The sequence below is a fragment of the Homo sapiens genome, chromosome 5 (assembly GCF_000001405.40).
Source record: "Homo sapiens chromosome 5, GRCh38.p14 Primary Assembly".
NCBI classification, from domain to species: domain Eukaryota; kingdom Metazoa; phylum Chordata; class Mammalia; order Primates; family Hominidae; genus Homo; species Homo sapiens.
In genome coordinates this window covers 68,548,581-68,564,836 of record NC_000005.10, presented here as the reverse complement: position 1 = coordinate 68,564,836, position 16,256 = coordinate 68,548,581, and the positions used below count along the sequence as shown (strand labels likewise).

Here is a 16,256-nt window from a genome sequence, read left to right as displayed (position 1 = left end):
TAATTTTAAATTTTGATGATGTCTAATTTATCATTTTTTCATTTATAATTTGTGATTTTGGTGTACTACGTAAGAAATCTTTGCCTATCTCAAGGTCACAAAGATTTTCTCCTGTTTCTTTGTGAACAAAAACTTTCTCTTTGTGAAATTCTGTCTAGAAATTTTACAGTTGTAGCTTTTACATTTAGTTCTAGGACTGTTTCATGCTGCGTGTGATAAAAGTTGATGTTCATTTTTCCCCTCATATATTTCCAGTAATTTCAACACCATATGTTGGAAATTTTTCCTTTTACCACTGAAATGTCTTTGTACCCTTGCTAAAGCCAATTGATCACATATGTGTGATCCATATCTGGACTTTGTATTCCATTCCATTTTTCTAGATGTTTACTTTTATGCTAACCCTACATTATCTTGAGCTCTGTAGTTTTGTAATAATTCTTGACGTAAGGCATATAAGGCCTCCAGCTTTGTTCTTACTTCAAGATTTATTTTGCTATTTTAGGTTCATTGCATTTCCATATACATTTTAGAATGAGCTTATCAGTGTCTACGAAAAGATTGCTAGAACCTATAGATTAATTTGGGAAAAAGTGGTATTTAATAGTCTTGTGTCCTCTACTCTGTGAACACGGTAGGTAGCTCCATTTATTTAGGTCTACTTTAATTTCTCTTAGTAATGTTCTGTAATTTTCAGTAGATGCTGTTTCATAGCTATTGTTAAGGGTTTTTTTTTTTTTTGATTTTGTTTTCCTCTTTTTTTATGAGCAAATAGAAACACAACTAATTATTTCTGTGTAAAGTATTATGCCCCAAAGTCAAGTGGCTTAAAACAACGAGCACTTATCTCTTGCCATTTCTGTGGGTTTGATATTCAGGTGTAGCTTACTTGGTTTTGCTGTGGGTCTCTAATGAAGGTTCAGTCAAGATGTTGACTGGGCCTGGAGTCATCTAAAAGCTTGACTGACGCTGCAGGGTCTGCTTCCAAGATGGCTCACTCATGTGTCTGGCAAGTTGATGGTGACTTGGATAGGAGGCCTCAATTTCTTTACATATGAGCTTCTTCACAGAGCTGCTTGAGTGTCTTCATGACATTGTAGCTGGCTTCTCTCAGAACAAGTGATTCAAAAGAAAGCAAGGCAGAAGCTGCAGTGCCTTTTGTGATCTAGACTCAGAAGTCACATGCCATTATCTCCACAATATCCAATTGGTCACACAGGTCAGCACTATTTTGTATGGAAGGAAACCATACAACGGCATGAATACCTGCAGATGAGGGTCACTGGAAGCCATCTTGAAGGTTGGCTATCACACTTGGTGTGGTGTTTTTTTGTGTTTGCCCTGCATTTCTCATGCTTTTTGAACATGTAGGCTTATTATTTTTATCAATTTTAGAATATTTTCAACTATTATTTCTTTAAATTTTTTTTTACTTCTTCCTCTCTTATCTCTCAATCTGAGACTCCAATTACATGTACGTTAGACTGCTTGTCTGACAGCTTACTAAAGTTTCATTCATTTTTTTCCAGCCTTTTTGCTCTCTGTGCTTGATTTAGGATAGTTTCTATTGCTATATCTTCAAGTTTGCTGGCCTTTTTTCTACAGTGTCTTATCTGCTGTTAAGACCATTAAGTGAATCTTTTTTCACTTCAGATATGTTATTTTTGAACTCTAGAACATTTGTGTGGCTCCTTTTCATATATTCAACTTCTTTATTTATGTCCTTGCTTTCTCTTAAATTGCTGGGTTTTGATAGTAGTTCTTTTAAAGTTCTTGTCTGCTAATTGTACTTCTTAGCCACTTTTGGGTTTATTTCCATTCGCTTATTTTTCTCATGATTAAGGGTCACATTTTGCTACTTCTTGGCATATCTAACAATTTTTTATTGGATGTTAGATGTTAGGAATGTTATATTATTGACTATTTGGATTTTGTTATCGTCTTTTAGAGTGTTGATATTTGCTTTGGCAGGCCGTTACTTGCATATCAGTTTTATCCTTTTGAGCCTTATTGTTAAGCTTTGTTAGGATAGGTCTAGAGTAGCCTTATTGTAGTGTTAGTTTATTCCTACTACTAAGGCTTGGCTTTTCTGTAGTCTTTATTGAATACCTAGATATTCAAATGGAGTCTTTCCACTCCAAGGAATAAAACGTTGAATGTCATTCAGCCCTGAATGAGCTCAGAGAATTGTTCCGATAGAAAACCCCGGCAGTTGTTCTTTGCCTGGATTTGTGGAGTTCACTTACACATGTGCAGTTTTGGATTCAGCCACTCAATGGGACTCTTATGCAGGTTTCTGGCATTCTTCCTTTGTGTAGCTCCTCCTTCTCTGGAATGCTGCCCTGTAATTTCCAGCTGCCTCAGCCTTTCTGAGCTCCTATCTCTCCTCAATTCAGAGAAACTGCCAAGCTCTGCATGGGCCCCCTTTCCTGCCCTGAGGTTAGGAAATTGTTTCCAGGCTGCAAGTCATGCTTTCAGGGATCATAGACCTACACTGCCTCTTGTCTAATGCTGGAAAACAGACATTTTATATATTTCATTTAGTTTTCTAGTTGTTTATGGGTTTTGGAGGAGGGTGTGCAAAGACCATGCAATTACTACTCCTTCATGGAAGGAAGCAAAAGTCCTTCCCCTTTTGATTTTAAAATACATGGCTACTTGGGGGGCTGAGGTGGGAGGATCGCTTGAGCCCAGGAAGTGGAGGTTGCAGTGAGCTGAGATCATACCACTGCACTCCAGCCTGCGTGACAGAGTGAGACCTTGTCTCAAAAAAACAAATAAAATAAAATAAAATAATAAAATACATGGGAAGAAGTATTAAAAGGAAAAGAAAACAATTCCAAATAATAAAACTAGTATTAGCTAGAGTGTATAAAAGCAGGCCACATTAAAAAACTACTGGTTAAAATTTAGATTAGAACAATCTTTGGAGTGTATTTTGGCAAAAAAGAATAAAAAGCTTATATTTTTTTTTACTTTTGAACTGGAAATTCTTCTTTTAGGTATTTATCCAGAAGAAATAATCAGACATATATGAAAGTTTTAATTAAATAATTAATTATAGTAATGGAGTGGCTACGTTGTCTGGGTAATTGTTGCATGCCAAGAAAATTTAGGACACAGACACAAGCGAGAAGTTTAGGATCAGAGGTTTAATAAACAGAAGAGAAGAAAAAGAGACGGCTCTCTCCGTAGAGAGAGGGGTCTCCAAGGGAAAGGACCGGCTAGTGGTGAATGCACCGAATTTTATAGTCCATTTTGAGGAGGCAGTGTCTGATTTGCAGAGGGCTCATAGATTGGTCACATCAGGTAAGGTATGAAATTTATGTAGCGTGCTGGGAAAGCTGGTTGTCCCAACTTAGTCTTACTATGCAAATAGACTTTCTAGTTGATCTGCGCCATCTTGTCTGCTCCTTACAGTACATGTGGCTGGCAGAGACAGGAAGATGGAGCTGCCCTCTTGAAAATGTCTAGTTCTTAGTTCCTGCTGGCATTCACTCACGCAAGCTCCAGCTTGCTTGTCTATGTCTGCAGCTCAACTTTACAGGCTGGTCTTTGTTAGAAAATGATCTGGGGCTGCTTTTCATCAAAAAGAAAAGCTTTACCAGGGACTCTCATACCCTTGCTAACTGCCTACGTGATTTCTTCTTAACTGCTATATCAGTAAGGAAATTTGTGACCTAAAATAAAAAAAAAATTAACCAAAATATTCAACAGTATAAAACTGATGAAATAAATTTGTTTATGCATCCACATAATAGCATGCTATATGACTACAATGATCTTGGGAAATATAACAATGATATGAGAAAATGCTTTAATAATTTTAATAAGTTTTAGAAAATCAGATTACAAAAAATTTGTTCAGTTTAATCACAATATTAATCTATTATAAGTATGATGTAGAGAATACAAAAATATTAACAATCCCTGTATGATGTAATTATATAAATATTTTATTCTTTGTGCTTTTCTAAGTTTTCTGAACTTTCTACAACAAACATAAAATTACTTTTTAAATTTTAAAATATTTATTTTTAAATGCTTCATTAGATTAATTCACAGTTACACGATAGTTGGAATCTACATAAATGGCTGTAAGAGAGCCAACATGGAGTAGTAGGTAAGAGTACAGGCCATGAAATCTGGATTTAAATTCTGTTGTACAATTGGCTAGATGAATGATCTTGAATACATTTCATAACTTCTTGGAGCCTCTATTGTCTTATCTGTAAAATTGGTATGAAGATGCTGCTCACCTTTTTATGGTTCCTGTAAGAATTAAATGAAGTAATTCATGTAAACTCTTAGCATGACAAGATTCTGTGAGTCTGAGTTAATGCACTGTAGTATTATAATTATTTCTACTCCTAGTGACAACAACAACTACTACTATTACCAATAAAACAATTAGGATAAAGGACCTTATGAGGCATGGGTATATGGTAAGATTAAGAGAAGAGGGTTGAAAGGGGAGCAAAAGCAACATTGAAACATTACTAATGTCACGGCTTTTCTTACTAGCATTGCTGAAAATAAAACAACACAATAAAAACAACCTCAAACTGGGGAATGGGGAATTCTTTTCAAGATAACTGAGATATGCACTTAACTTTTAAGATTCTCAAGAGAGACAGAAATCACACCCCTGCTCAGTTTACAAAGAAGTTTTGAGTGGAAAATAACTATTTAATTGAGGAAATGAATTCTGGGACTCTCAGGTACAATACTCATACATAATACAATACTGATGAGATGCTATATGACTGCTATAGACTGAATGCTTGTACCCCTCCTCCCACATTCATATGTTGAAATCCTAATACTAATCAATATTAGGAGATGGGGCCTTAGGAGGTAACTAGATCATGAGGATGAAGCCCTCATGAATGAGATTAGTGTTCTTAAAAAAGAAGTCCCAAGAGATCCCTTGTCCTTTCTGCCATTAATGTTAAAGTGAAAAGATGGTTGTCTGGGAAGTAAGCCCTCACCAGACACTGAATCTGCGAGTACATTGATCTTGAACTTCCCAGCCTCCAGAACTGTGAGAAATGCATTTCTGTTGTTTATAAGCCACCCAGTTATGGAATTTTGTTTCAGCAGCCTGAATGGACTAAGGCAATGACTTCATGGCTCAGTTTTGCTGCCTGTCAACTAGGAAAAACATTTTGGTAGGCTTTTAAATGAAATATATAAAATGAATACTTTACAAACATCTAAGAATTGATCATTATTCTCCCCTTTCAGTGCTATCACCATGGGTCAAACCACCAGCAGCTTTTGTTTTGCTGCTTCTTCCCCATGCCCTCGAAGTCTGTTCTCTATACGAGCAGTCCCTCAACCGTTTTGGCACCAAGGACCAGTTTCATGGAAGACAATTTTTCTATGGACCAGGGTCAGGGAGATGGTTTGGGGATGAAACTGTTCCACCTCAGATTATCAGGCATTAGATTCTCATAAGGAGGGCACAACCTAGGTTCCTTGCATGAGCAGTTTATTATAGGGTTCATGCTCTTATGAAAATCTAATGCCACTGATCATCTTACTGGAGGCAGAGCTCAGGCAATAATGCTTGCTCCCCTACCACTCACCTCCCGCTGTGCAGCCTGGTTCGTAACAGGCCACAGACTGGTACTGGTCCATGGCCTGGGGGCTGGGGACCCCTACTCTACACAATACTGGGATTGATACTTTTAAAATACAACTCAAGTCAATGGCAGATAACTCTAGGCCAAGAGAGGCACATGTGCAAAAGCAGAAGGGCACTGAGCAGCAAGGTGTCCTTGGGACACTATAAGAGTTTGGTATTGGTAGAACTTTGTGTAAAGTTTGGGGACTGAGTTGAGAGAGAGAGAGGGACCATATCTTGAGATTTCACATATGGTTGCCTGAGGTGTGTGTTTTAGGTGATAAACAACTATTGAATAAATTTAAGCAGAGGAGTGACAATGTCAAGTTAATGTTTTAGAAAGATAATTCTGAAAATGCAGGGGACTATGGACTTGGTAAGGAGAAAACTGGTGGGAGAAAAATGAGATTATTTTGCACATTGAGGAGCTTATTGTCTAGGACAGTGGTGCAGACTCTTTTGACCCTGACCCATGTAGTGGGACAAACAATACCTTAACATACTTACTCCAGGAATTTCAGTCTCTAGTAAAAATGAATTTAGAGAACGAAGACTTTATAGAACCAATTTTTACTCGATAAGAGAAGAATATGAGTTTAGAGGTTTATATATACATATGATCATTTTGTAGCTTATTGGGAGGTCTTTCATGGCCAACCAGCAGGCTTAAGATCCCATACTGAGAATCAGTGGGTTGGAAAAGGGACAGTTATTATGTGGAAATAGAGGGGAAATGATAGATGTGAAAGTTATTCATGAGGTACAGTTGAAAAGACCTGGAGATTAATTGATCTGGGATTTGAGAAGAGGGAGGAATCAAAGTTGACATCTAGGTTTCTGGCTCTGGTGATTATGCATGACCAACAGAGATAGGAATTCAAGAGGAAAATCAGATTTGGGGAGATCGGCTTTGCTGCAGACAGAAGTGTGAAGGGTTTTTTTGCATCATCTAACTGAAGATATCTAGTTGACAATGGACTAAAGCATAGGGGAGATATTTGGGCTGGGTATGGTAAAATGGCACAGAATTTCTAACACACTGTGAGTAGTGCTGCCCCTAGAAGGGGCATTTTGAAATATATGAGTTGTTTTTTGTTGTCACAATGATGGGGTGTAGCATTGCTGACATGTGTGAGAGGGGACCAGGATGCTAAATGTTCTGAAATAAAAGGGCAGTCCTAAACAATGATGTGTGCCACTCAAAATGCCAACCAATTATGTTGCCATTGGGAAACACTGGAGCCTTGGAAGGGAGAGGGTGCAGAGTGAGCAGAGAAGAGGCCACCGTTAGGACAGGAGAGGACCTAGGAACAGAAAGTGAGAAGACTGAGGAAGAATAGGCAACGAGTAGTGGCATAGAAGCCAATGAAAGGGGAGAGTTTCAGGAAGACTCAGCAGTATTAAAGACAGAGAGGTTAAGAGGCCTAGCAGAGCAAGCCCTGAAATGTAAAGTAGATTGCGCCAGTGTCAGTGCTTTTCTATGGGAACTGAGCAGGGCAAAGGTGAGGAAAGCTGCTGGCATGCTTTGGGCTATTTGCAATCACTCCCATAATTATCAAGTGTTTTTTGATCAGAAATAAAAAGGATACATTTTAAACTGCGATAAGAATTTGTGAATCTGCCTAGATAAATAGTAGTGACAAATGATTCTTTCATTTCTATAATTAGCATACTGCTTGGAAGAGAGTTCTTAATGTATCTCAGTAATGCTGCTTTTTATTTGTAACATCAATATTTTATAAGAGAATGTCCTGTTTTAGTTATTGTGGTCCAGTTCCTTAATTCCCACTTCATTTTACAGATTGAGAAAGAAAGAATCAGAAAGTTTAACTCACCTATGAAGTTATGCATAGAATGCAAGAAATTTGAGCTATTAAATTCTTTATCTATGAATATTAGGTGCTTCCTCCCTCTGGTTGCTGCTTGCTTTGCTTAAAAGAAAAGCTAAATTTGCTAAGGTATTCTGAACTTATCTGCTATGGACAGAGTTCTGTCTGAAATTTCTTAATTTTGTTTGCATTTTTGTCTTTCTTCCCTCCCTCCCTCCCTTCTTCCTTTCTTCCTTTTGCCCTCCTTTCCTCCCTCCTCTCCTTTCCTTCCCTCTCCTCTCTTTCTTTTCTTTACTTTTCCTCCTTTGTTCCTTCCTTCCCTCCTTCCTTCCATTTTTCCTTTGTTCTTCACTTTCTCCCTTTATTCTTTCCACAATTTGTAATCAGAAAGAATTGCAACCAATTTCTGAAGATACATGAAACATACAAAACAGCAGCTATAAAAGGCAGAATGAAAGAAGGAAATAAGCAAAGGTAGGGGGCATTAAATAAAAAGGAGACATCTGTTGTTTCGAGGCAATGAAATAAGGCACTGAGGTAAAGTTGATATTGAGGGGTGTTCCCTGTAATGAAGGTAGAGCCAGGGATTTTATGTTACACATGGGTTGTTGGTAACTTGGGGATTTTGAACACTGCTGGTACCTGGGAATGTCAAGATTGGAAGCCACAACTTTTGGATTCTTAAATCCTAACTTTCGGCCCTAGACCACATAGAACAGATGACATTGTCAAGCCCAAATCCCTTGCCTAAGGGAAAAGAGCAGTTTGCAAGCTTCAGTGGCACCACCCAATGAAGGAATAAAAAAGGAGTGGGTGGGATGAGTAGGGATGGAATGTGCCCAGGAAAGGTGGGGCTCCCTGAGTGTCAGAGAAGGCCAGGACGAGCATGGAGTGTGTTGACTGCAAGAACTGCAAGTTGTTCTTGGCAGCCTTAAGCGTCAGGAGGTCCCATGACAAGACTGTGTTAAGGAGACAAGAAATCATCTAGAAGGCAATCCTCTTTGGGACAAGACAGAATATTTAGCAGGCTACTCAAGATGGGGTGTGTGGAGAATACAGATGTGTGGCTTAATAGTAAGGGGGGAAAAGAATTTAACACACAGGTCAAATAACATTCAGCTTGGGAGTGAAGGTCCTCTATCAAGAAGTGTTTATTGTCAGCAAGCTGTCTCATCAGAAGGCAAAACAGCACAAGTTGCAGAATTCTGGGGCATGTGGAATGCATGTTGCCAGAGTGAATGGTATGTAACAAATATGCATTTGGAGCCCTGGTATTCCATGAAGCTGCACTGTGTCCTTGCTAGTTTGTGGTATGTCGCAGGGTCATGAGCAGGTGGACGAGAGACACGCTTGCCTGCATTTCTCGCCTGAAGCTTGCTGCATACCACATCCCTTCAAACATTTTTAGATGGGCAGCAACTTTTTAGTTGTCTTCTTTTATCCTAGAATTTGTGAATTGCTAGAATACATTTGTTTATATGAACTGGACACTGTCACTCGATTCCTAAGACAAGAACCAAAGGTTTATTGACAGGCTGCACAAGCTGTTGCTTGTGACATACTTCTCCACCTCCACATGGGCCCTCCTTCCTGGCATGCAAATATTTGGGTATGAATTAGTAGGAAGAGAACCCAGGACCTGTGGACTCTTTCTTAAGGTTTGTAGAACATTGTGCTTTAGAGATTCACGCATTTGGGAGAGAATAGAACAATGGGGTTAAATCCGTGGGCTCTGAAGTTGTCTGGATTTAAATTCTTGTGTGATCTCAGGCCTGAGATTCCTCACTTGTAAAATGGAGGAGAGAAAAGATGTGTTCTTATAGAGTGTCAATGAGGGTTTAGTAAAAGAGTACATGGAAAGTGTATTTTAAAAGTTCCTGACCCACATGAAATACCCAATAAATGATAACTAGCATTGTTATGATTATGATGTTCAGAACTGAGGAAAGACCTGGCTCAAATGGCAAAGTCCCCTGTGCTGAAGTTCTGCCCATTTCCTGCTTGGACATCCCTGTCAATATGTTCCTGCCCCAGTCTTGTTCAATTTCTGCCTGGACTCTTCACCCTTCCCACAATTCTGCTTTGCTCCTGACCAAATAGGAATGGAGGCAGAGATGTACCTTGGGCTCGGAAAGAGTGAGTGGCTAGTGCTGGCCTGGGCGCCTGGGGCCAGAGCCTCAGCTCTTCTGTCCAAGGTGCTGAGTCATGAGCAGTGGTTGCAGGCCCGACTGCACCGCTGGGACTTGGCGTGGCATCTGGGGAGGATTAGCAGATTATGATCGGAACAAGACACAAAGAAATTGCAGCCAATGTTGATAAGCAATTTGGAAGGCACCCAAAGGAGGGAAAAACATGAAGGCAGACTGCAAAATCAAAGTGAGCGTGGGCAGACAGAGCCTTTTAGGGGGCAGAGGCATAAATCATGCAACTCAGAGAGGGCAAATGTTTCCTTTTCTGTTATTGTTTCTTTGGGTGCTTAAAGGAAACTATGGATGGTAATTGGATTTTGACATTTAGCCTGATAAAAAACATTTAAAATGTAGAGCAAAGGATCACTCATACATTGTGGACAGAAATGTAAAATGGTATGGCCACTCTGGAAATGATTATGGCAATTTCTTACAAAACTAAACAAGCAACTACCATATGACTCAGCAAATTGTACTTTTGGGCATTTACCCCAGAATTATGAAAACTTATGTTCACACAAAAACCTTTGTAGGAGTATTCATAGCAGCTTTATTTGTAATGGCCAAAAACTAGAAACAACCCAAATGTCCTTCAATAGGTGATCAGTTAAACAAACGGTGGTATATTCATACAATGGAATACTACTTAGAAATATAAAAGAATGAACTACTGATACACGCAACAGCTAGATGACTCTCTAGAGAATTATGCTGCATAAAAAAATCTAATATGAAAAGATTACATACCTTATGATTATATATAATATACACACATATGTATATACACATATAGTATATATTTATATGTTATATACATTGTATATAATATACTATGTATATATTATATACAGTATATTATATACAAATGAACATATATAATGTTCATTTATAATTCTGAAAGTCTTAGAACCCTTAAGAATTATGCTAAATCTACTCAGCCTGGGCCCTGTAAATGGAACAGCAGAGCCTGGATGATAGCACATCTGTTTACAGCACGGCTTACTGAATATTTTAAGTCTGCCATTGAGACCTAATGCTCAGAAAAAAGATTCAAAATATTACTGCTCATTGACAATACACCTGATCACCCAAGAGCTCTGATGGAGATGTACAGGAGATTAATATTGCTTTCATGCCCGCTAACACAACATCCATTCTGCAGCCCATGGATCAAGGAGTAATTTCGACTTTCAAGTCTTATTATTTAAGAAATGTATTTTGTAAGGCTATAGCGGCCCTAGATAGTGATTCCTCTGATGGAGCTTGGAAAAGTAAACTGACAACCTTTTGGAAAGGATTCACCATTCTAGATTCCATTAAGAACATTCATGATTTATGGGAGGAGGTCAAAATATCAACATTAACAGGAGTTTGAAAGAAATTGATTCCCACCCTCATGGTTGACTTGGAGGGGTTCAAGACTTCAGTGGAAGAAGCAACCGCAGATTTGGTGGAAATATTTAAAAAAACAGAATTAGAAGTGGAGCCCGAAGATGTGACAATTACTACAATCTCATGATCAAATTTAATGGAAGAGGAGTTGCTTCTTATGGGTCAGCAAAGAAAGTTGTTTCTTGAGATGGAATCTACTCCTGGTGAAGGTGATATAAATGTTGTTGAAATGACAACAAAGAATTTTGAATATTCCATAAACTTAGTTGATAAAACAGTGGCAGGGTTTGAAAGGATTGACTCCAGTTATGAAAGAAGGTCTACTGTGGAAAAAATGTTATCAAACAGCACCACATGCTACAGAAAAATCTTTGTGAAATGAAGAGTCCATCAATGTGGCAAACTACTTCATTGTCTTATTTTAAGAAATTACCACAGCCACCTTGATCTTTAGCAACCACGACCCTGATCAGTCAGCAGCCATTAACACTGAAGCAAGACCCTTCACCAGCAAAACAATTACAACTTGCTGAAGGCTAAGATGATTGTTAGCATATTTTAGCAATAAAGTATTTTAAAATCATGATATTACATTGTTTTTTAGACATGATTGGACACTTAATAGATGATAGTATAGTATAAACATAACTTTTATTGCATTGGGAAATCAAAATATTTGTGTGATTCACTTTATTTATTGTGATAAATTTGTTTTATTGCAGTGGTCTGGAACGAAACCCACAATACCTGTGTATATATATTTTGTGTATGTGTGTGTGTACACACACACAGTTGACCCTTGAATAACACTGGTTTGAACTGTGTGGTTTCACTTATACACAGATTTACTTCTGTCTCCACTACCCCTGAGACAGAAAGATCAACCCCTCCTCCTCAGCCTATTCAATGTGAAGAGGACGAGGATAAAGACCTTTATTCTGATCCACTTCCACCTAATTAATAGTAAATATATTTTCTCTTCCTTATGATTTTCTTAATAACACTTTCTCTTCTCTAGCTTACTTTGTTGTAAGAATACAGTATATAATACAGATAACATACAAAATATGTGTTTTAATTGACTGTTTATGTTATGTTATGGGTAAGGTTCTGGTCAACAGTAGGCCATTAGTGCTTAAAGTTTTGGGGAGTCAAAAGTTACAGGTAGAATTTTTTTTTACTGTGTAGGGGGTCAATATTCCTAACCCCCATGGTGTACAAGGGTCAAGGGTTACGTGTGTGTGTGTGTGTGTTTGTGTGTGTGTGTTTGTATTTACTGAAATAACAAATTATAGAGATGGAGAACAGGTGAGTGGTTGCCTGGGGTGGGGAGAGAAGTGGTTGTGGCTATAAATGAGTGTCATCAGGGAACCTTATGATGAAACTCTTCTATATTGTAATGGTGGTGGTGGTCACATGGGTCCACCCACATGATAAAAAGTGCATCAAAAAAATATATAAATGAGTGCAGGTAAAACTGGTGAAATCTGAATACGGTTGAAGTATTGTATCAATGTCAATAGCCTAGTTGTGATATTAAACTCCAGTTATACAGGATGTTGCCATCGGGGGAAACTGAGTGAAGGGCGTAGAGGATCTCTCTGTACTATTTCTTATAATTGCATGTGAATCTACAATTTTCTTTAAAAAGTTTCTACAAATGTAGAGTAAGCCCTTGAGATGACCCTTCTCCCTGGCATATTGACGTTGTAAATGGGATTTTGTAAAGAATATTCCATACTGGGTTTTTTAAAGCAAAGTCTCTTTAAAAGAATACTTGGTACAATTCCTTGTTTGAGGAGGGGAAGCCCAGACCGAGGGGAACTGCCAGCCCCCATAGCACCTTGGAGGACAAGATAAAGGGTGCCTCCCACAGGTGGAGGGGTGAGTCAAAGCAAATTACTGAGAAAAGCCATCTGGTACCTGAAGGCTGACAACACTGCCAGGCTGGTCAGATAGGCCTGGAACTCTCAGGGATGGAGGGAGGTTTCAGCTTGAAGGAACAGAGGATGAACATCCCTGAGTGGGGTGTCTGGGAAAAGAGGTCTAAAGCTGGACTATCAAAACATTTGTATGCATACTAATCACCTGCTAAAATGCACATTCTGATTCAACAGGTCTCCAGTGCGGCCCTAGAGTTCTACATTTCTAAAAAGCTTCTGGGCGAGGCCAGTCCTGCTAGGCCAGACACTGAGTCATGAGGGTCTAAACCAGCCACATCCTTAAGAGTTAGGTTTGTCAAAGAAGTAAATATGCAATAGAAAGGAGGATGGGAGAACAGAGGGGAGAGACAGCACTTTGGAGGTAGGTACCTTCCTCAGGGCAGTTCAGCCGGGAGAAGTTTATTTGGCAACGTCCCGTCGGGAGGCCCAAGCTAAATCAGCAGAGCAGGTGATTGCTGATGGAAGAGTTTTGACAGTGGCCAACAGCGGAAAGGACCTGGAATCAGGACAGGAAATAGAGATGCCTAATTCTCTAGGAAAAAGAGGCTGCAAGAGAGAGTTGGGCTCAAGCCTGGGAAAAGAAGGAAGAAGAATTTGTGAATTTCAGAGCTAAAGCCTGGAAGAGAGGCCTGAGATTTAGCCTGGGTGGTTAGACACTGGAGGTGGGGGCCCTCAGGACAGTGTGATCCTTCAGCCCTAGACTGCTTCAGGGGCCATGTGAAATGGAACTTGCAGTTTCCCTCAACAGCAAAGAGCTTGTTGCTCAAGAAATTTCCTCACACTGTAGTAGAAAGGGATGTGCTCAGAGGTGCTATGTGACCTGGGCAGGAGGAGGACCAAGTGAGGAAGAGGACCTGAGTGGCAGGCATTAGGGAAAAGCTGGAGCGTGAAGGAGCCTCTACGGAGTCAAGAACCACCCTGTGCTCTGTCTCACACACTTCTCTCAGGGCTTATACTAGGCACTGTGAACCTGCTTGTTAAATGGGTATATGAATAAAGGAATTCCTACATTGTAGAAGTGAAAAGTTACCTGCCACTGATGGGCGATTCATCTGGGAAAGCTTTCTGTTCATGGCTGCCTTGGGGAATGTTAATTCCACTCATCTTGAGTCTTGCTCGTCACCAGGCTAGAGTGCAGTGGTGCGATCTTGGCTCACTGCAACCTCTGCCTCCCAGGTTCAAGTGATTCTCCTGCCTCAGCCTCCCAAGTAGCTGGGATTACAGTTGTGTGCCACGATGCCTGGTTAATTTTTGTATTTTTGTAGAGACAGGGTTTCACCATGTTGGCCAGGCTGGTCTCAAACTCCCAACCTCAAGTGATCTGCCGGTCTTGTCCTCCCAAAGCGCTGGGATTACAGGTGTGAGCCACTGTGCCTGGCCTCAAGTCTCCTTTTATGTCCATTGCCACATTAAGTCATTCCTTTATGTAATTTTTTTCTCTACTTAGGATCACCCATTGATATTTGTCTGGCTAGAAGTTACCCTATTGGTCTGTGCACTCTTTTCTGAGATTTCTATTCCAAACTTGGTGTCAACCTTACTTCTTCTGTTTTCCTAGCCTGGAGGTACTTAAAAATACCTGGGCAGTGTGATAAACTATTTAGAACTAAAGTATGCATGGGGGATCAAGGTTAATGTTTACCCCTTTATGACTGCATTTACCCAGGTACCTTCATGTGTTAACACAAAGAAATGTCTTGTGATGGAGCTTTCAGAGACCATGAGGGGTGGGAGAGATATTTAGATGTAATTAACTGAGAAGACTTTTCCAGAGTTCTTCCAATCACATTTCCTCTGTCAAAATTTGTGCTTTTCCTAGCCAGGATTCAGGCTTTCTAGGAGTTGGGAGGTAAGAACAGGCCTAGTGTCCCTTAGGTCTGAGTGGAGGTAGAGCTCAGCTCACCACTGGTCATGCCCTCTTATCTGCAAGCAGCCCATGATGATTATTCTTGGCTCCCTTTGTTTGAGATCTCCAGGAGCTGTGTTATTGGCAGTGATTTTGCTAGAAATGGGTCAAGGGGCTAAATAAGCAAAATGGTCATTATCCAACTCATGGATTTGTCCTCTTAAACACACATTTGCCAGAAATCCATTCTTTCTTCAAAGCAACTATCATGTATCCATTCTCCCATCCAGCCTCTGCTGTGGGGGGACCACCTGAGATTGACCTTGCGCTCTGAAAGGGAGAACGACTCTCCAGAATTCCCCTTGCAAAGCACAGGCACTCAGACTGGTCAGATGTGAAGCTGCGGTCAAAAGGCAGGTGGAGGTCAGCGTGTCGAGTAGGTCCAGAGTCCCAGAATTCACAGAACATTGCCTTATTTTTACCATTGGTGCGAAGAGTTCTCATATTTCTTATTGACTCAAGATAGATTTGATATGGTTGCTTGGCCCTGAAGCCTATCCGCCCAACAACTGCAGAAGATCCAGAGACACACAGCCATCCATCAAATCTGACAGGCCTGCCTCCTACAGCGGCTGTATTGTTTATGAAATGAGTCACTTTCATAGCAAATCCAAACGCAGACTTGTGCAGGATTCGACAGACGCATCCCACTTCATTCTTCCCATTCTCTCCCTTCACGTGCTTGCTCAGTATTGAGTAGCAGCCCTAACTTTGCTAAGGTGGAACTGAAAAACACAAAGCAGGGTTTTTCCTCGAACAAAATCATGACATTTGGCTTCCTAACTTTAGAGTAGTTCAATAAGCATGTGTCTTCCCTTTTTTCAGCAGTGGCAAGTAGAGTGGAAAAAAGTAGCTAAGAGTAGGGGTTGCCACATGCATACTCTAAGAAATAGATTCCATTATTATTCTATTTATTGGCCACATGAAAAGAGGTCTAAAATCTTTTTTATAGCATCATTTCTCAAAAGAGGTCAAGCGTTGCCTTTTCATGAACAGTAACAGCAAAATGGAAGCCACTGATTGGCTTTTATTGATTGCAGGACTCTGAGAGGGAAGAAAAAACAAAGATTAACTTAAGAAATAGCAAAGATTTGGGGTGAAAAAGTCCTTTAATCTGGTTCACCATTATATGTAGACAGAATAGGCATAGAGATAGAATTTGAGTGGCTCCAAAGGATTCAGTCCCTCGTACTTTTTTAATGATAAAAAATGTTTTTGGAGCGAGGTCACACTTGACCATCATAATACCCTGTTACCAGTGGGCCAATGATGTTATCAGATGCTGAGCTCTGAACAACCTGATAGAACTTACCATTCAGGATATGGCACTTAAAGGGTAAGGGCCAACCAGGGAAGGGGAGGCCCTAG

At 39.8% G+C, this 16,256-nt stretch overlaps 2 long non-coding RNA genes across 9 annotated transcripts in view; both read left to right on the top strand.

Moving 5' to 3' along the window:
- LOC105379013 (uncharacterized) overlaps positions 1 to 16,256 on the top strand; it is a 406,546-nt gene that overhangs the window by 268,021 nt on the left and 122,269 nt on the right. The gene's annotated exons all lie outside the window — the stretch shown is intronic.
- Positions 1 to 16,256, top strand: part of LOC105379011 (uncharacterized) — a 58,354-nt gene that overhangs the window by 1,740 nt on the left and 40,358 nt on the right. The window lies entirely within an intron of this gene.